General features: G+C 41.0%; 1 protein-coding gene and 2 long non-coding RNA genes across 6 annotated transcripts in view, besides 31 other annotated features; 1 reads left to right on the top strand and 2 right to left on the bottom strand.

Moving 5' to 3' along the window:
- LOC107985675 (uncharacterized) overlaps positions 1-18,430 on the bottom strand; it is a 528,885-nt gene that overhangs the window by 273,235 nt on the left and 237,220 nt on the right. The gene's annotated exons all lie outside the window — the stretch shown is intronic.
- LOC107985676 (uncharacterized) lies at positions 1,912-11,330 on the bottom strand. Its single transcript, XR_001755791.3, has 3 exons — positions 10,822-11,330; positions 7,618-7,692; positions 1,912-2,037 (listed from the first exon to the last, which is right to left on the bottom strand). It is a non-coding gene; the product is annotated as an uncharacterized LOC107985676 (long non-coding RNA).
- Positions 9,438-15,882: a meiotic recombination region, noted in NCBI's record as "meiotic double-strand break mapped by DNA meiotic recombinase 1 chromatin immunoprecipitation followed by single-stranded DNA enrichment and sequencing in the germ cells of some male individuals with PRDM9 A/A, PRDM9 A/B, and PRDM9 A/C genotypes". NCBI's record gives the evidence for it as "EXISTENCE:chromatin immunoprecipitation-seq evidence [ECO:0000229][PMID:25395542]".
- VCX2 (variable charge X-linked 2) lies at positions 11,883-13,206 on the top strand. Its single transcript, NM_016378.3, has 3 exons — positions 11,883-12,043; positions 12,361-12,608; positions 12,801-13,206. Exons 2-3 carry the CDS (start codon positions 12,507-12,509, stop codon positions 13,116-13,118), a joined length of 420 nt encoding a protein of 139 aa, NP_057462.2. The 5' UTR covers positions 11,883-12,043; positions 12,361-12,506; the 3' UTR covers positions 13,119-13,206.
- Positions 12,540-12,555: a nucleotide motif, noted in NCBI's record as "nucleotide motif; similarity, but not exact identity to the predicted 16-mer PRDM9 C-type binding motif, CCNCNNTNNNCNTNNC".
- Positions 12,744-12,759: a nucleotide motif, noted in NCBI's record as "nucleotide motif; similarity, but not exact identity to the predicted 16-mer PRDM9 C-type binding motif, CCNCNNTNNNCNTNNC".
- Positions 13,008-13,067: a tandem repeat, noted in NCBI's record as "variable number tandem repeat (VNTR); RU1 (repeating unit 1) with a 30 nt repeat motif, and 2 repeats units in the GRCh38 reference assembly". NCBI's record gives the evidence for it as "EXISTENCE:nucleotide sequencing assay evidence [ECO:0000219][PMID:1549475]".
- Positions 13,092-14,025: a tandem repeat, noted in NCBI's record as "variable number tandem repeat (VNTR); RU2 (repeating unit 2) with a variable number of a tetranucleotide repeat (GGGA, TCCC on the complementary strand) within the repeat". NCBI's record gives the evidence for it as "EXISTENCE:nucleotide sequencing assay evidence [ECO:0000219][PMID:1549475]".
- Positions 13,113-14,360: a non allelic homologous recombination region, noted in NCBI's record as "sub-region a', recombines with sub-region a within the S232-VCX2 recombination region". NCBI's record gives the evidence for it as "EXISTENCE:nucleotide sequencing assay evidence [ECO:0000219][PMID:15888481]".
- Positions 13,233-13,245: a nucleotide motif, noted in NCBI's record as "nucleotide motif; similarity to the predicted 13-mer PRDM9 A binding motif (LD hotspot motif), CCNCCNTNNCCNC".
- Positions 13,270-13,282: a nucleotide motif, noted in NCBI's record as "nucleotide motif; similarity to the predicted 13-mer PRDM9 A binding motif (LD hotspot motif), CCNCCNTNNCCNC".
- Positions 13,303-13,315: a nucleotide motif, noted in NCBI's record as "nucleotide motif; similarity to the predicted 13-mer PRDM9 A binding motif (LD hotspot motif), CCNCCNTNNCCNC".
- Positions 13,340-13,352: a nucleotide motif, noted in NCBI's record as "nucleotide motif; similarity to the predicted 13-mer PRDM9 A binding motif (LD hotspot motif), CCNCCNTNNCCNC".
- Positions 13,373-13,385: a nucleotide motif, noted in NCBI's record as "nucleotide motif; similarity to the predicted 13-mer PRDM9 A binding motif (LD hotspot motif), CCNCCNTNNCCNC".
- Positions 13,406-13,418: a nucleotide motif, noted in NCBI's record as "nucleotide motif; similarity to the predicted 13-mer PRDM9 A binding motif (LD hotspot motif), CCNCCNTNNCCNC".
- Positions 13,443-13,455: a nucleotide motif, noted in NCBI's record as "nucleotide motif; similarity to the predicted 13-mer PRDM9 A binding motif (LD hotspot motif), CCNCCNTNNCCNC".
- Positions 13,476-13,488: a nucleotide motif, noted in NCBI's record as "nucleotide motif; similarity to the predicted 13-mer PRDM9 A binding motif (LD hotspot motif), CCNCCNTNNCCNC".
- Positions 13,505-13,517: a nucleotide motif, noted in NCBI's record as "nucleotide motif; similarity to the predicted 13-mer PRDM9 A binding motif (LD hotspot motif), CCNCCNTNNCCNC".
- Positions 13,538-13,550: a nucleotide motif, noted in NCBI's record as "nucleotide motif; similarity to the predicted 13-mer PRDM9 A binding motif (LD hotspot motif), CCNCCNTNNCCNC".
- Positions 13,567-13,579: a nucleotide motif, noted in NCBI's record as "nucleotide motif; similarity to the predicted 13-mer PRDM9 A binding motif (LD hotspot motif), CCNCCNTNNCCNC".
- Positions 13,600-13,612: a nucleotide motif, noted in NCBI's record as "nucleotide motif; similarity to the predicted 13-mer PRDM9 A binding motif (LD hotspot motif), CCNCCNTNNCCNC".
- Positions 13,633-13,645: a nucleotide motif, noted in NCBI's record as "nucleotide motif; similarity to the predicted 13-mer PRDM9 A binding motif (LD hotspot motif), CCNCCNTNNCCNC".
- Positions 13,666-13,678: a nucleotide motif, noted in NCBI's record as "nucleotide motif; similarity to the predicted 13-mer PRDM9 A binding motif (LD hotspot motif), CCNCCNTNNCCNC".
- Positions 13,695-13,707: a nucleotide motif, noted in NCBI's record as "nucleotide motif; similarity to the predicted 13-mer PRDM9 A binding motif (LD hotspot motif), CCNCCNTNNCCNC".
- Positions 13,728-13,740: a nucleotide motif, noted in NCBI's record as "nucleotide motif; similarity to the predicted 13-mer PRDM9 A binding motif (LD hotspot motif), CCNCCNTNNCCNC".
- Positions 13,761-13,773: a nucleotide motif, noted in NCBI's record as "nucleotide motif; similarity to the predicted 13-mer PRDM9 A binding motif (LD hotspot motif), CCNCCNTNNCCNC".
- Positions 13,794-13,806: a nucleotide motif, noted in NCBI's record as "nucleotide motif; similarity to the predicted 13-mer PRDM9 A binding motif (LD hotspot motif), CCNCCNTNNCCNC".
- Positions 13,827-13,839: a nucleotide motif, noted in NCBI's record as "nucleotide motif; similarity to the predicted 13-mer PRDM9 A binding motif (LD hotspot motif), CCNCCNTNNCCNC".
- Positions 13,860-13,872: a nucleotide motif, noted in NCBI's record as "nucleotide motif; similarity to the predicted 13-mer PRDM9 A binding motif (LD hotspot motif), CCNCCNTNNCCNC".
- Positions 13,893-13,905: a nucleotide motif, noted in NCBI's record as "nucleotide motif; similarity to the predicted 13-mer PRDM9 A binding motif (LD hotspot motif), CCNCCNTNNCCNC".
- Positions 13,926-13,938: a nucleotide motif, noted in NCBI's record as "nucleotide motif; similarity to the predicted 13-mer PRDM9 A binding motif (LD hotspot motif), CCNCCNTNNCCNC".
- Positions 13,959-13,971: a nucleotide motif, noted in NCBI's record as "nucleotide motif; similarity to the predicted 13-mer PRDM9 A binding motif (LD hotspot motif), CCNCCNTNNCCNC".
- Positions 13,992-14,004: a nucleotide motif, noted in NCBI's record as "nucleotide motif; similarity to the predicted 13-mer PRDM9 A binding motif (LD hotspot motif), CCNCCNTNNCCNC".
- Positions 14,062-14,074: a nucleotide motif, noted in NCBI's record as "nucleotide motif; similarity to the predicted 13-mer PRDM9 A binding motif (LD hotspot motif), CCNCCNTNNCCNC".

The following is an 18,430-nucleotide window of genomic DNA, read 5'->3' as shown; positions in this document are numbered from 1 at the left end:
TTATAAATTGGTGTTGGCCTTCATACCCACCCACCCTGCTGGTGAGGGTAAATGAGATGTGAACTCTGCCACAGTCATTAAAGTAATGACTTTTCTTTTTTTGTCAGGGGGGAGGGGGTTGCGGAATTTCACTCCTGTTGCCCAGGCTGGAGTGCAATGGCGTGATCTCGGCTCACTGCAACCTCTGTCTCCTGGGTTCAAGTGATTCTCCTGCCTCAACCTCCCAAGTAGCTGGGATGATAGGCATGTGCAACCATACCCGGCTGATTTTATACTTTTAGTAGAGATGGGGTTTCACTAAGTTGGTCAGGCTGGTCTCGAACTCTTGACTTCAGGTTATCCACCCACCTTGGCCTCCCAAAGTACTGGGATTACAGGCATGAGCCACCACACCCAGCCTTATCTTTCAATAACTGATGATTCCACATGTATTCTAGGTTTGTACATAGTCTATATTTAGCCTGAGTTTGTTCCTATTAGAGAGATAATTATTTCAATTCAAGGTTCAATGAAATGCCCTTGCTGAACTCAAATAATTCAGAAGACCTTTCAATGACTTGAGAGGTCCTCAGTATCAGGTTGTATATTTTGTTCTTTCCAGGAAGAAAATCATATTGTCTATTTGGATCATATTGGACAGCTGAACCCATCAAACGTTACCAGAATGGTGGAGTCCAGGAAGAAAATAGAAGACGACAAGAAAACTACACGTGTAAGTCCATTTCCAAGCAGATATGTGTGTGCAGGAGTAATGTTCTACAATGAAGGGAGAGGAGTAGGAGTGCTAAGTAAACCCAATACTAAACCTTTGCTATATGAGCTTTTATGTGCTGGAATTTCTCAAAGGTCCTTCCTTGACCTCCTGTCTTCTCACTGTATACTCTACCTAAGCAATTTAATTATACCCATGACATCAATAACTCAATTGTCATCTGTATTAGTCAGTGTTCTCCAGAGAAACAGAACCAACTTGAGTATTAGAATACATATATATATACACATATTATATATATACATATTATATATATACACATATTATATATACATATTATATATATACACATATTATATATACATATTATATATATACACATATTATATATATACATATTATATATATTATATATATACATATTATATATACATATTATATATATACATATTATATATACATATTATATATATACATATTATATATACATATTATATATATACATATTATATATACATATTATATATACATATTATATATACATATTATATATACATATTATATATATACATATTATATATACATATTATATATATACATATTATATATATATACACACACACACATCTCTCATTTTATCTGTTTTTCTCCATCTTCACCAACACCACCGTTACGCAAGCTATCATCGTCTCTACTCTGGGTAACTGTGACAGTCTTCTAACTGCTCTTATGCTCTCCAGTGTGAGCTCTCAAGGAATGGCCAAGGTTCTCAGTGTATCTTTAAAAAATCGTGCAAGATAGCCCTTCCTTCCTTTTCTCTCCTGATGCATCATGTGTTATGTCTCTATCCTGCAATGCCCAGAACCCCACCCTCATCCTTTAAGTTCTAACTGCAGTAACATTCTCTCAGTCCCTCAACCATCCATGCACCTTCCACTCAAGAGTGCTACCTGGACAACTGACGTCATCCTCGCCCCAAGCCCCATTCCCATTGGCCTGATTGCCAAACATCAATCCAGCAGAGAAACCTTTTCTGAACCCCAACACCTAGCAGGTCGTCTCACAGAATGTGATGTGTTTTAAAGGCATATTTTTGTGATAGTTTGATTATTACTGGAGTCCCCCACTAGCTTGCAGGCTCACTAAGGACAGGGTCTTTGTTGTTCAGTTTCATTAAAACAGCAAGTACTTAAAAAATATTTAATGAGTTTTAAACATATTTTTATTTGTTTTAATCTCATTTTTAAAAAATTCCATTGCAAGTTCTTACCAGGCAGAGTATCTTTTGATTCTGACATTGTTCATTTACTCTTTTGTCACCATCTCTGTGAATAAAATTGAACATGGATTTGATATAACTGGGCACTTCCTCTGTTTTTATAATTTAAATGAAAAATCCTTTCATTCAAATAAACACAGGCCTTCAATTAACTAATAGTTTTTGCTAACCCCTGCTGCTGCATTTTTCTCAGTAATTCTTAAGTGAGAATCATGGTAACTTCACCAATCCCTTTATGTTAAAAGCAAGGATGTTCTTATGACTAGTAAGAGGTTGGTGCAAAAGTAATTGAGGTCTGAAAGTAATGGCAAAAACCACAATTATTTTTGCACCAGTTTAATAAAAAGCAATTTATTAAATGGCCATAACAATATATGCCAAAATTGTCATTTAAAGATGTAGTGTTATATATTGAAACATAACTTGGATATTTTCCAGATTCAGTTTCAAAAACAACAAAAATAAAATATAACTGTCCCATGAACCCATTTTCATCTTTCCAACTCTTGCCCTCTACAGATTCAATCACATGGCTTAAATATTGACCTCTAAACTAGTCAGCCACTTTATCAGATTCACCTTTACAACTTAGGCAATAACTAGTCTTCAAAATAAATATAAAGAAAAGAAAATAAAAGAAAGTTTCCAATGATGTTCTTAGAGCAACTAAGTCTTCTCATTCTGTCTGCACAGGTCTTTTCTCCAAGTTCAGCAGCATTTGTGTTGTAGAACAGGCACAACTGTTTTGAATTGCCACAACCACTCACTTCCATCGAACTTGGCAGAGTGGAGCATATTCATAGAGAAAAAACATAGGTATCTGGTTCTGATTAGTGGTGCAGTTTTAGAATACATCTGCCATCATATATGCACACACAAGGCATGGGTAAAAGCAGTTGGACACTAAGACACAATAATTATATCTAGGGCTAACTTCTCTACAATGGAAATTCTGTATAACCAAGAGTTCTTCCAAAAATGTACGCAGGCACACACATCAATACACTGTACAAATTCTTCAGATTTAACCTGGATACAATAAAACTTGAAGATGACCGACAGAATTGTGTATTCCTTTGTTATTTAAATATCTGAACATCTAATATTTCTTGGTCAGTTTCAGGTAAAAAGCTACACTAATAATGTGGTTTAAATATGACATAATAATCTGAGAAAAAACTGTGGCATATTTTAATAAAACTTTCTATTGACAATGCTAATCCGTGTAACACTGAAGTGTTCCTCCCCAAAAATTCAGGATCTTTTATTGCTGAAGAGTTAATCATTACAGGGGAAAATCATGACACCCAGTGGCCAAAGACTTTCAATGCTGCATAAATTCTTGTGTCCTCTGTTCTTTATCACACTCATAAATTAATTTATTGATAAACTAAATCATTTATGTATTAAAATATGTATTACTAAAATAGGTAATGTGTTCATGAATGCTTTTGCATTTTTACATGTAGGCATGAAAATTATTTCTGAAATTGGAAAACTGCAGATGCTAATGTGGTTTGTGTGGATATGTGGCATCTGCCTCAACATAACCATATGAATATATTTCTTAAACACATATACTCATTTACAAAGAATCTCCTATTCTGGCCGGGTGCAATGGCTCATGCCTGTAATCCCAGCACTTTGGGAGGCCGAGGCGGGCGGACCACGAGGTCAGGAGATTGAGACCATCCTGGCTAACATGGTGAAACCCTGTCTCTACTAAAAATACAAAAATATTAGCCGGGCGTGGTGGCGGGCGCCTGTAGTCCCAGGTACTCAGGCAGCTGAGGCAGGAGAATGGTGTGAACCTGGGAGGCAGAGCTTGCAGTGAGCCGAGATCGCGCCACTGCACTCCAGCCTGGGCGACAGAGCGAGATGCCGTCTCAAAAAAACTAAAACAAAGAATCTCCGATTCTATACTCATGATTAGAACACATTCTGTGCTAGCCCACTTTTTTTCCTTTTGAAAAAACCCTCAAAGGAAAATAAAATGAATCATTTTACTTGTTGAGCTAATAATGGACATGGATCTTATTTATGTCTACATATTAAGCAGGACATTGCATGATAAGAAGGAGGTCTTTATGACGGGTAAGTTTATTTATACCTGTGCTGCTTCCCTTTCATTGGCCAATTTTACTTATTTCCCTCCTCGATTTAATTACTATTATAAACCTGGGAAGCTATACAGTAGTAGTGGTGAAAGATAAGTTCAGATTCCAACCTTGTCACATAATTAATTTGTAACTTTCAGCAAGTTCTTTCAGCTCCTGAAATTCAAGTATCTTTATGTGAAATGAGATTATTCTTTATTTGAAATAAAAAAAATTCCTACCTACTCCCTTTGTTGTGAAGATTATCTACCCTATGCATATACATTTATATATCCGTAAAGTGGCTAGCACAGGGCTTGAAGGTTTTTGTTTGTTTGTTTGTTTTGACACAAGGTCTCACTCTGCCATCCAGGCTGGAGTGCAGTAGCATGGTCATAGCTCACTGCAGCTTCTACTTCCTGGGCCCAAGCGACATTCCTGCCTTAGCCTGCCAAGAAGCTGGGACCAAAGGTGTGTGCATCCACCCGCAGCTTATAATACTTTTTTTGTAGTGAAGGGGTCTCACTAGGTTGTCCAGGCTGGTCTCAAACTCCTAGCTTCAAGCAGTCCTTCAATATGTTGATAACCGCTTATTTGCAATCCAACCAAAAATGCCTCAGACCTAAATACTATTACAACTCTTTGGACATTGGCTCCTTGTGGTTATAAAGTGTCTCCTTCCAAAGCTCAAATCTTCTCTCAGGAGGTTTGATTCTTGAGACTAACATTCATCCCAGGGCCCAAGGATCTCTCAGACCACCGCAAAAATCTTATGCTAAACGTGGACATTCCATCCACTAAACATCAGTTGTAGTCCTTTCTTCGAATGGTAGGTTTCTGTCACATTTGGGCAACCCGGTTAGGACTTATAGCAAAACCTCTTTATGGGGCACTGCAAGGATCGGGGGGGAGCTCTTAAATTGGAGCCTTGAAATGGACAGTGTTCTAAAAACCCTCAAACGAGCCCGCGCCCTGGCCTTGCCAGATCTTACAAAGCATCTTTACTTGTTCATAGTTGAGAGAAGGGATACAGCCCTTGGAGTCCTCACTCAGCCACTGGGACCCTCCCAGTGGCCAGCTAGTTACTTGTCAAAAAAAAGGCATGGGGATGGCTGCCATGCCTCTGAGTGCTAGTGTGTGTGGCTCTCCTGGCTGTGGAGGCCTCCGAGCTAACTCTGGGCCAAGGAATAACTGTCTACACCCCACATCAAGTAATGAATGTCCTAAACTCAAAGGCCTTTCACTGGATCTCACAGAGCCATATAAGCAAATTTCCAACACTCTTTCTACAGGTACCAGAATTGAGTATTAGGCTCTGCCAACCCTTAATCCTGGCATGCTGTTACCAAACCCAAATGTGGAGGGACCACTTAAACATTCTTGCTTGGAAACCATAGATCTAACCTGTAATGTTAGACCAGACCTCCAGGATACTCCCCTTATAGATTCAGAGGCCACACGGTACACAGATGGCAGTAGCTTTATGATAGGTGGAACCCAACTGTCAGGGTATGCTACTGTTAACCTAACTGAAATCACGGAATCTGGACCTCTGCCCCTTAGCCCAAAAGGCTGAGCTCATTGCTCTTACCTGTGCCTTACAATTAGGGGCAGGCATGAGGCTTAATATTTACACAGACTCAGCCTATGTCTTTCATGCAGTGCATGCCCATGCAGCCATTTGGCAGGAAAGAGGACTTTTAATGGCCTGAAATACTTCAATTAAACGTGTTCCTGAAATCATGGCCCTGTTGGAGGCAGTTATGCTTCCTCCACAGGTCACTATCATTCACTGCAAAGCCCATCAGAGAAGCAATGATGAAATCTCTATCAGGAACACCTGGGATGACAAATAAGTAAAAGTGGCTGCCAGGTCACCCTTTCAAGCTGTCTTCGTTCCTAGCGTAACTTCCCTGTCTCCACACTATACACAGGGGGAAGCCCAAAAAGCTCTAGAAAGAGATTTCTCCCATACCTCAAAGGGTTGGCTAAAAAGTCCTAATGGCAAACTCTTGCTCCCAGGAGCCTCACAAAGGAAGTTTCTAAATAGCGTGCACCAATCGACTCATCTGGGGGCTAAGGCCATCCAAGATCTAATAAAGTCACTGTTCACCAGCACGGGGATAGCCCAAGCTCTATGGGCCATCTCACAGGCATGTCCCACCTGCTGCCAAATAAACCCAGAGGGAGCACACAAACCTCCCCAAATCCTTCAACCCATTCTAAGATGAGGAACCCTACCAGGAGAAGACTGGCAAATATATTTTACACACATGCATCATGCAATGTGTGTATTTGTTAGTCAGGTATCTGTTAGTCTTTGCAGACACCTTCACTGGATGGATAAAGGCCCTTCCCACTAAAACTGAACGGGCCTCAGAAGTCACCTCAGCCCTTTTAGACCACATTCTTCCTTGTTTTAGACTCCCTCATGCCCTACAGTCAGACAATGGCCCCACTTTCATTTCTTAAATAATGCAGAGAATCAGTGAAGCTCTCCATTATTTAAGAAATGAAATGCAGTGAAGACACATGTGTCTTGGCGTCCACAATCTTCTAGGAAGGTGGAGAGAGCCAACCAAACCAGAAAAAGCACTTCACAAAGTTAATACATGAAACCCAACAGTTATGGTCAACTTTGCTCCCCATTGTACTCTTAAGAGCCTGTATCACCCCAAAATCTGAAACCCATCTAGCCCTTTTGAGATTCTCTGCGGAAGATCTTTCTTCCAAACAGACCTTTTGTTAGACCCAAAGAGACATTATCTCATGCAATATGTTATGTCCCTGGGACAAACCATCAAGGCCATCAATCATTATCAAAGTCTTCATAGTCCAACACCTGGCCCCTCTTTTTCAGGAAACACTCACCCTAACCTTATGCTTGAAGACTAGGTATATCTTAAAACTCTCCCACAGGACCAAAAGCCACTGGAGCCAGTTTGGACTGGACCACACCAAATTCTCCTTATGACCCCGACAGCTGTTCAACTCAAAAGCCTCTCCATGTGGATTTACTGCTCCAGGGTAAAGGTGGCACCAGCACTCGACAAAGAACGCACCGCCTACACCTGCGAACCAGTTGGAGACGTTTGTCTATTGTTCAGGAGGGACTCAAACTCAGGCAATATCCACCTTAATACTTAGAAGCAGCAAAAGCAGAAACCCCTGATAAACCCATCAGATCTCGTGAGACTTATTCACTATCATGAGATTAGCACAGGAAAGACCGGCCCCCATGATTCAATTACCTCCCCCTAGGTCCCTCCCATAACATGTCGGAATTCTGGGAGATACAAGTCAAGTTGAGATTTCGGTGGGGACACAGCCAAACCATATCAAGCTATATGAAGTTAAAACCAGGTACTATGGGTGTTCACTTGATTTTTGGTTCTCATGAAGATGTTTTTCTCTGTGTAGATAGTTGTTAAATTGGTGTCCTTAGTGGGGGGTCAGGGGGACAATCAGTGAAGCATTCTATTCTGCCATCTTTCTCCTCCTGTAGATCTGTAGTATATTTTGAAATATACCTTTGTAGTATATTTTGAAGTCAGGTAGTGCGATGCCTCCTTGTGTGTTCTTATATGGGCCCAGTTTCTGGAGTCCTAAAGCAATTACAATAATAACATCAAAGATCACTGATCAGAAATCATCATAACAGATATAATAATGATGGAAAAGTTGGAAATATTGTGAGAATTACCAAAATGTGACACAGGGACATGAAGTGGGCACATGCTGTTGGAAAAATGACACTGACATGCTTGACAGTTGCCAGAAACCTTCAGTTTATAAAAAACACACAATATCTATAAACACAATAACGTACATCACAATAAAACGAGGTCGACCTGTACCTGCCAGTACCCAGGTAATTAGTTTACTAGGAATAAGTAATAATAGCTAAAAAAACTAAATACAGAAATTTAAAAAACACTGTCTTCTCAGGACACAAAAACATGGAAAGATAGTCCAGGCTCATAGATTGACAGGATTAATATTGTATAAATCACAATACTCACCAAAGCGATTAACAGATTAAATGCAAGTCCTATCAAAATACCAATGACATTCTTCACAGAAATAGGAAAAAACTTATAATATTCATAGGAAACCATAAAATACCTCAAATAGCCAAAGCAATCCTGAGCAAAAAGTGAAAAGCTGGAAGCATCACACTACCTGACTTCAAAATTTACTACAAAGCTATAGTAAACCAAGCAGCATGGTACTGGCTTAAAAACAGACACAGAGACAAATGGAGCAGAATAGAGAACCCATATATAAAGCCACATGCTTACAACCAACTCAACTGAAACAAAGACAAAAAGAACATATGATGCTGAAAAGACCGACATGTCAATAAATAGTACTAGAAAGCTGGATAAGTATATGCAGAAGAATGAAACTAGATTCCTATCTTTCACCACACACAAAAAGCAAATCAAAAATGGGTTAAAGACTTGAATCTGGCTGGGAGTGGTGGCTCACGCCTGTAATCCTAGCACTTTGGGAGGTCGAGGTGAGTGGGTCACTTGAGGTCAGGGGTTTGAGACCAGCCTGGCCAGTATGGTGAAACCCCGTCTCTACAAAAACTACAAAACTTAGCCAGGTGTGGTGGTGCACACCTGTAATCCCAGCTACTCTGGAGGCTGGGGCACGAGAATCACTTGAACCGAGGAGGTGGATGTTATAGTGAACTGAGATGGTGACACTGCACTCCAGCCTAGGCCTGAACAACAGAGTGAGATGAGACTCTGTTGAAAAAAAAAAAGAAAAAAAGACTTGAATTTATGACCTGTAACTGAAACCACCAAGAAACATTGGGGAAATGCTCCAGGACATTGGTCTGGGCAAAGACTTCTTGAGTACGACCTCAAAAGCACAAGAACCAAAGCAAAAATAAACTACTGGGATTACATCAAGTTAAAAAGCTTCTGCATAGCAAAGGAAATTATCAACCAAGTGAAGAGACAACCCACAGAATGGCAGAAAATATTTGCAAAGTATCCATCTGATAAGGGATTCATAATCAGAATACATAAGGAGCTCAAAAAATTTAATAACAAACAATCTGACTTAAAAATGGACAAATAATCTGAATAGATATTTCTCAAAAGAAGACACAAAAATGACCAGCAGGCATATGAAAATATGCTTATTATGAATCATCAGAGAAATACAAATCAAAACAATGCAATATCATCTCACCCCAGTTAAAATGGCTTTTATCAAAAGACAGGCATGAACAGATGCTAGCAAGGAGGTGGAGAAAGGGGAACCTGTGTACACTGTTGGTGGGAATGTAATTTACTACAGCCCCTATGGAGAACAGTATGGGGTTCCTCAAAATCCTAAAAATAGAACTAGTATATGATCCAAGTATTCCACTGCTGGGGAAAGAGAGAGAGAGAGAGAGAGATGGATAGATAGATAAATAAATTTATCTGTACATCAAAGAGATATATCTGCATACTCATGTGTATTGCAAGTCACGATAGCCAAAATATGGATTTAGCCTAAGTGCCCATCGACGGATGAATGGATTAGGCAAATGTGGCATATGTACACAATGGAATATTATCCAGGCATAAAAAGAATGACTGGATATTATGTTAAAGGAAATAAGCCAGGCACAGAAAAACAAAGATTGCATGTTTTCACTCATATATGGGAGCTAAAAAAGTGGTTCTCATGAAGATGGTGACTATAGTGATGGTTACCAGAGGCCAGAAGGGGAAGCGGGGGATGAAGGGGAAATAAAAGAATATAAATACAAGAATATAAATATTACCACTGAACTGCACACTTACAAGTGGTAAAGAGGGTGCATTACATGTGTATATTTTACCTCAGTAAAAATAAATTTTAAAAATAAAATCACGTTCTTCTCACCACTTACTGCTGAGTTATTGTTGGAATAATGAATTACTACTACAGATGAGTCATATACCTAAGTAAGTAGTAAAATAGAGACAACAACAATAGTTCAGTGGAATGTAGAACATAGGGAATCTAGTCAGGTCAGATAAAATTTTGTTGGTGTTGAGTTAATATATGAGTTCTACTTAACTGGGCTTTCCCATAAAACACGTTACATAGAAAGAGCTAACAGTCATTGCAATACTAAGTGAACCTGATCCTGAAAATCGTGTTCTTTGCAAGTCTCAATTATTCATTTTAGTTGGTATAAGAACTTATAAGGATAGGTGCTGAGTGCTACCCAGGAAAAAAAGGTCCAAAGGATAACAGGAGATAATTTGAATATCTATGTGATGCCTGGAAAAAGCAAAATCCTTCCTAATCATTCTACTATTTTTTGTTGGAATAATAAATTACCACAGACATCTGGTGGTAAACATGTAATTAGCAACCTAAAGATAGCTAGAATTAGCCAGACCAGGTAATTGATTGCAGGAAGCTGAAGATAACTGGCCTATGCCAGGGAGTTCAATAACCATTTTCCTCAATGCAAAATTCCAACCTCATGTTAGAAATATTACCTAATATAGTAGATATCTACTTTATCCAAGTGAGTAATTAACTAGAGATAACTACATGAAGCCAGTACCTGGAATAAACAAATTCTTCTCAGTACTAGTTGAACAAACAACTAGCAATTACTAGGAAAACTGGTTGAACATAGAAAGTTTAGTAACCATTCGAGTCAATTCTGTATTCTTACTTTTTTAGGATTGTTGACTAGGTACTATGGATTTGGTAACTAGAGTTACCTGAGTAAGAGTTAAATACAGAATCCTCCATAAAACTGGAATAACTGGTTGAAGACAGAAGTATCACATTGCATTCTCCTCAGTATTTCTCATTTCTTGTTGGAATAATAAGTTGGTTCTGTCAATGGGTAGTGAGTACCTAGGTTATTACAAAGCAAGAAATAAGAAGAGATGACTAGAATAAATATTTGATACCAGAATGGTGAAAAAAACATTCTTTTCAAATAGAAACTCTAATTTCCTGTGTAATTAATGAGTTACAATTAGTTAGTACTGGAGATATCTATATGAGATGTGGACTTCATTTTTGGGGGGTGGTACATACTTAACAGATGAACTGCTGGGTCACATGGTAGATCTATTTTGATTTTCCAAGGAACCATTACACTGTTTTTTATAACGGCTGTACCAATTACACGTCTGTCAACAGCGTGTAACAGTGAGGTGATAGTTCATTGTGGTTTTCATTTGCATTCTCTGATTATTAACGATGTTGAGCACATTTTCATATACCTGTTGGCCAGTTGTGTGTTTTCCTTCTAGAAATGCCTATTCAAGTCCTTTGCCTATTTGTTAACCAGACTATTTATTTATTTGCTATTGAGCTGTGTGAGTTCTTTATATATTTTGGATATTAACTCATTATTAGATACATGGTTCGCAAATAGCTTCTCCCAAACCATAGCCTGCCTTTTCATTTTGTTGACTGTTGGCTGTGCAGAAGCTTTTAGTTTCCAGCCTGCTCACTTGCCCTATATATTTCAGCTTCCTAGACCCCCACATTGAGTCAATGTGTGAGCCAATTACTTAGAATAAACTGTATCATATATATAATTCATAAATACTACATGATAGTAAATATATATTTATGATATATAATATTACACACACACACACACACACACAATATCCTGTTGGTTTAGTTTCTCCTTCTCTGAGGAACCCAGCCTGATACCGAAACCCAGCCTGATACCGATACCCAGCTGAGCGAGTGTGTTTGCTGATCTTGACCTCTGGAAGCCAGTGCTTTAAACCATGAGAATGAAAAATTGTGAGGCACTATGTGGATGCTGGGAGAAGTATGTGAGATGGAAAAGTTGTTTCATGGCATCCAAGAAGTGAATGATCCTCAAGGTGTAGCAGAGGAATTTGTAGGAGAGAGGGATGATTGACGTCTTCGTATAGCCCTCCATCCATCCCAGTTAGCATGGAGGGATTTTAGATAGGTCATACAGAAACTGGGTAATGATGGCAGGTGTGGAGGAACAGAATGTACCACTGAATGGGAGGTCCGGGGGAAACATGTGGCGGAAATATCCTCCCGTGCCACGTGATCTGCCAAAATTGAACATGGGGAGTTTAGGAGGGGTGACATGTCAGTTTGGGAACTATCTTTAGGGGTGCTAACCCAAATCTCCCTTTCTCCAATTAGAGCACCCTGCCTTCCTCATTAGATGTCACCCCCCCCCCCCGCCCCCGACTTCATCCGCCATGTCCTGATGGTGCTTTGTGACGTATAAGGCCTTCCTTCCCGCCCAGGGCTACCATTGGCTGGGTAGTGGAGTGTTGACCAATCACAGCTCAGGGGCGTGATTGTCTCGTCCTGGGATCGCGAGAGGGGTATATACAGGGAGGCCAGGCAGCCTGGAGTTAGTCGACCGTTGCGAGACGTTGAGCTGCGGAAGATGAGTCCAAAGCCGAGAGCCTCGGGACCTCCGGCCAAGGCCACGGAGGCAGGAAAGAGGAAGTCCTCCTCTCAGCCGAGCCCCAGTGACCCGAAGAAGAAGGTGAGTGACCCTCCCAAGCTCCTCCTCGTCTTCCCCTCGCCTCCTTCCTCACAAGAAGCCTCTCCTGTCGTCACTTGGCAGAACCCCCCAACCCGGCCCCCACCGCTTCTGAGGACACGTCCCTGTTCCCAGCCTCCTCCATCCTCGTCCCTAAACCAGAGCCCTTCTGTGATCTCCCTGTTGTCCTTCCAGACTACCAAGGTGGCCAAGAAGGGAAAAGCAGTTCGTAGAGGGAGACGCGGGAAGAAAGGGGCTGCGACAAAGATGGCGGCCGTGACGGCACCTGAGGCGGAGAGCGCGCCAGCGGCACCCGGCCCCAGCGACCAGCCCAGCCAGGAGCTCCCTCAGCACGAGCTGCCGCCGGAGGAGCCAGTGAGCGAGGGGACCCAGCACGACCCCCTGAGTCAGGAGAGCGAGGTGGAAGAACCACTGAGTCAGGAGAGCGAGGTGGAAGAACCACTGACTGTGTGGATGGCCAGCTTTTCCCCTGTCTCCGAGAGCACCGACTAAGTTCAGGCCCAGCCGCCAGACCTCAGAGATCTCACCAGCGGGGTGCTTGCCATTCTGAAGATAATAAAATGAATGTGTTGCAAATTGATCTGAGTGACTCCGTGTTCTCTGATGGTGGGGAGGGAGGGAGGGAGGGGGGAAGAGGTGGTGTGTGGTGAGGGAGGGAGGGAGGAAGAGGTGGTGTGTGGGGAGGGAGGGAGGGAGGGAGGAAGAGGTGGTGTGTGGGGAGGGAGGGAGGGAGGAAGAGGTGGTGTGTGGGGAGGGAGGGAGGGAGGAAGAGGTGGTGTGTGGGGAGGGAGGGAGGGAGGGAGGAAGAGGTGGTGTGTGGGGAGGGAGGGAGGGAGGAAGAGGTGGTGTGTGGGGAGGGAGGGAGGAAGAGGTGGTGTGTGGGGAGGGAGGGAGGGAGGAAGAGGTGGTGTGTGGGGAGGGAGGGAGGAAGAGGTGGTGTGTGGGGAGGGAGGGAGGGAGGAAGAGGTGGTGTGTGGGGAGGGAGGGAGGGAGGAAGAGGTGGTGTGTGGGGAGGGAGGGAGGGAGGAAGAGGTGGTGTGTGGGGAGGGAGGGAGGAAGAGGTGGTGTGTGGGGAGGGAGGGAGGGAGGAAGAGGTGGTGTGTGGGGAGGGAGGGAGGGAGGAAGAGGTGGTGTGTGGGGAGGGAGGGAGGGAGGAAGAGGTGGTGTGTGGGGAGGGAGGGAGGGAGGAAGAGGTGGTGTGTGGGGAGGGAGGGAGGGAGGAAGAGGTGGTGTGTGGGGAGGGAGGGAGGGAGGAAGAGGTGGTGTGTGGGGAGGGAGGGAGGGAGGAAGAGGTGGTGTGTGGGGAGGGAGGGAGGGGGGAAGAGGAGGTGTGTGGGGAGGGAGGGAGGGAGGAAGAGGAGGTGTGTGGGGAGGGAGGGAGGAAGAGGTGGTGTGTGGGGAGGGAGAAAGGAAAGAAGGAAGGAATAGGTGGTGTGTGGGGAGGGAGGGAAGTGGGGTCCCGTGGGGTTAAGGTCACAGGGACAGGTCACAGTTAGCCAGACAGGAGGATAAGGATTGCGTCATGGCTGAACACTGGAGACAAATTTCCCCTTCACAGGATGACTCCGCTTCTTACACGGTTTGTTTCTTCATGCAATCTTGCTAGCACATACACCAAGTACCAAGAACTGGATTCTACCTACTTAGGTTTCATTGTTAAAATACCTTTTCGGTTATAGAAACCGATGAAAGAATCGTTTCCATCTCTTTCCTTTCAGCGTCCCCTCCCTACAACCTAATATATTTAAGAAGAAAAATTCAAAGTAGAGAAAAATCTATCTACTTGAAAAAAGCCTTTTTATATTCGCAACTGAGGAGACAAAAAGTACATTTCATATTTCCATGCGTTAGAAATACACAGGTCCTTTCTATATATAGAATTTACTGTATACAAATATATAGAAGCATATGTAAATAAAATGTAATATACAACTATATTTACTATATACAAACCTATATAGATTATATACATTTATATATAAAATATATAAATACAAATATAGAAATATGGATTATATATTTATATATAATATAAATATAAATATATAGATATAGATTATATATATATCTTAGAAATACACAGGTCTTTTCTAGATATACTAGAACCTACTATATATGTATAAATTAATATATGTATTTTTATATAATTCGTAGATTATATATAGAAATATTTACAAATATATTTTATGTATAAATACACATATAAAACATATTTATATATTATATATAATCATTTATTTTAGAGGGTAAGACGTTAATATTGTTCAAGCATGGGTCTCAGGCAAAAGGAGAAAGGAAATTATTTTAAGAAGAAAAGAGTACAAAATTATCACGATTTAATTTTCAATTGTTAATAATTACACAGGCAGAATAACTCATGCCCTTTAATCTTATAATGAATAGCACGTTAAACTTTTATGTGATTCTGAAAATATGAATTTCCATATAATAAGGGTTTGAGATGTAAAGCAGTAATTTTATAGGCAGTTTTCACTTGTTACATAGATTGTTCTTATAGCTTTAAAGACGTTAAAATTAATGGTGGCTTTGAAGAGATGGTAGCATCATTTGAGAAACAATAAATGGGTTCTGTTTCATCCTTTCCTTGGTGCAGTCAGGGCTTCACTTCATTAGCTTAGGAAGAGATTTCAGAGCTTTGCAAGTTGAACTTGTAGCTGCCTCCTATGGAATCCTACGAAACCTAGGACGCTATACCACAGAAACAGGGCGTTGCCCTATGTCCTGAACACCATCATTTTGTGGTATATTTCTTTTGTATTTCTTATATGGAAATACCATATAAGAATGAGCATGCTTGGTATAACTCAAAGCCTGTTTATTTGCAAGGCTGTATTGACCCTGGACAATAAATATTTGTATGTTATGGATGGGAAACAAGTCCGCATGAAAAGCTCCTGCTGTCTTTTAGGAAAGCCTATTGGCTGTGGTTGTATATCTCTTTCCAAAGGGAAATTGGTGAACTTTCTGCTATAGTGTTTTCCATAATGACAGCATAAAAACTGAAATAAACTCATCTTGTCAGTGGTCACTTTTGGGTTTGGTGTATATTAGGGAGCAATTTTGCAATGTGTTTAAAAATTACATTCAAGAATTAATTTTGTGCACCTTATTTTAATGCCATATTTCCATTCAAGCTCTGCATGTCACAACAGTCTGTGATGATTCTTTTGGCATTGAAATAATTATCCATGGCACTTAAACCGTGTTTCTTTCATCATTTCATGGCAGTAAGAGCTTCAACTGCTATTTGTTGGGAACCCATCCTGACTAGCTCGTTCACTAGGGCTTCATGTTTTATTGTGATGATTGGCAGTCTTGTGTTTCAGGCATTTTCAGATTTGGAAAGTTACTATGATTCTCAAATTATAAATGCAAAAGTATCAATGAATTTATTTTCACAAACTATTTTAATTCATTATGGACAATAAGTCGTTTAATTAGAAATCAATAATTTAAATAATATTTTATTTGTTGGAGCATTCATAAATACTACATCTTCAAGTCTTGCTTTATTCTACATGTTACATACACAGTAAAATATTTAATAACAGTGTTACATATTTTCCCTCCTTCTCCAACTATCCACAAGCTGAGGCTTAAAATAAACAGTGGAATGAGTAAAGACCCAAAGTAATATAGCAGCAAAGCTGTAGTTGATTTTTATAATAAAATAATAGATATCAAAGCTTCCTGACGTTTTTAGGCAAATCTTCCTGTGTCCCTAAAAGGAGGATCCCCTTGACAGCAGTCATGAACAACAGGTGATCTGAAATTCTCAGCTGTCAAAGACGGTGGGAGAATTTGAAAACACCTTGTACATATTAAAGAGCTAAGCATGAGCTGATGCATACATACATATGTCTCTGTCTCATTAGACCGCAGGAAATGGGACACACGGCAGGAAGGCTCACGTCGATTCCCCTTGACCATGCAGCTTCCTCTGCTCCTGACTCCTAAGAACTTTCTGACCTATTGGTCATTCCCAGCTTCAGATCCCCACGCATACCGATTGTTTTTGGCCCCACGTCAGTGATACACACGACACAGAATTGCTCTCAAAAAACACTCTGGAATTGAAAAATGACAGGAGAAGCTCAACGCGATGGCTGGGTACCAGAGGGAAGGCCTTCCGCTATTTTGAACATTGATGCTAAGCTCTAGAATAACTGTAGCTGCAGCCTGTTGGACCTGGGCATGTGTCAGGCAGGGTGTGAAATGCTCTCCATGCATGACCTCATTTCTCCCTCACATTACCCCTATGGATTAATCGGGGCTCTAGAGAGACGCTACCAACAGGTTATCAGCAAAGACAGATGAGAGGGGATTTATTAGGGGAATTAGAGGCTGAAAAGTCTCAGGGCAGACTGTTTGCAAGGTGGAGCCCCAGGGATGCCAGGAGTGTGACTCAGGTCACAACCAAAAACCTCAGAACCAGGGAAGTGGATAGTATAACTCTTAGTATAAAAAGAGCCTGAAGTTCTGATGTCCAAGGGCAGGAAAAGAAGAGTCTCAGCTCCAGGAGAGAAAGGGAGGAAAGTGCCTTTCCTCTGCCCTGTTTCTTCTATCTGGGCGCTCAGAGAATTGGATGGGGCCTGTTTCTATTGAAGACATCTTCCCCACTCCGTCCAGCAGCTCACACCAATCTTCATGGGAGTATCTGCACAGGCTCACCTAGAAACAATGCTTTATCAACTCCTGACGTATTCCTTAAGGCAGTCACGTTGACACCTGAAATTAACCATCACACCCTGTAAAATGAGGAGTGTCCCCACTGGACAAATGAGACAGACAGTTTGAGTAACTTTCTTATACTGCTTATAGGTTATAGAGTCAGGATTAAAACTCAGGTCTGCAAAGAACAAACTCTAAACCCCACCCTCTTAAGGACTGCTGCTCAACACTGTGGAAGCAGTACTGCATTAGACACTGTACAAGGATTGAAGAGGCATTCGAGACACATCCCCTGCTGTAGGGACCACATCCTAGCTTGCATTCATGACAGGAGTCATGTTTCTGTGACTCTACTATAGACCCCGGAACCAAGTGTGAATTGGTACGCTTTAGGTGTGCATACGCTCTGCAGAAATCCTAAGAAAGAGCCAGATAATTATAGGCTCGATTCATATAGGGAAGTTTTTATGAAAACAGCTTTTAGCCAATTCCTGAAAGAAAATATTTTTACTGGCAGAAAAATGTTCTGCTAGAGAATAACTAGTTGAAGGGCTTTGGGGGAAGGGGCACTGGACACATGTCCACGGAAGTGGGGGAAAAAGACACACAGAATAGAAACAGAATTGGGGACCCTTCAGGGAGAGAAGTAAGGAAAAGTGCTAGCCCAGCAAGCCGATAAAAATATATCTGCCCTGTATTTAAAGTTAATTCCATCTCTTGATGTTTTTTTCATATTATTCATATTATTATATTTGTTAGTATAGTATTATTCACCTTATTGTCCCATATATTATGGCATTTCCCCCTATATGTGAATATATTACCACATAGAAGGAAATGACCTCATTTTCCTAATACATAATTAGACACATGAGTTTATTCGTTTACAAGCAAAAATGTGTCTCCTCCATTAAGTATTAAAACAAAGAAAACCATAAAATATTCCAGAGTTGAATCTTGGAGCTCAATACTCAGAAATGTTGCTAATTTGCACATTTTATATGGTACTGAAGACTCCCACATTAAGGAGTGCTTTTGTGTCTGTTTGGTTGGAGACCTCAATGTTTTGATGAAAGTTCATTCTTAGGAGGCCACTGTCATCAAATCAACTT

Source organism: Homo sapiens, chromosome X, assembly GCF_000001405.40.
Source record: "Homo sapiens chromosome X, GRCh38.p14 Primary Assembly".
In the NCBI taxonomy this organism is placed as follows: Eukaryota; Metazoa; Chordata; class Mammalia; order Primates; family Hominidae; genus Homo; species Homo sapiens.
This window is presented reverse-complemented; position numbering and strand designations above follow the sequence as displayed.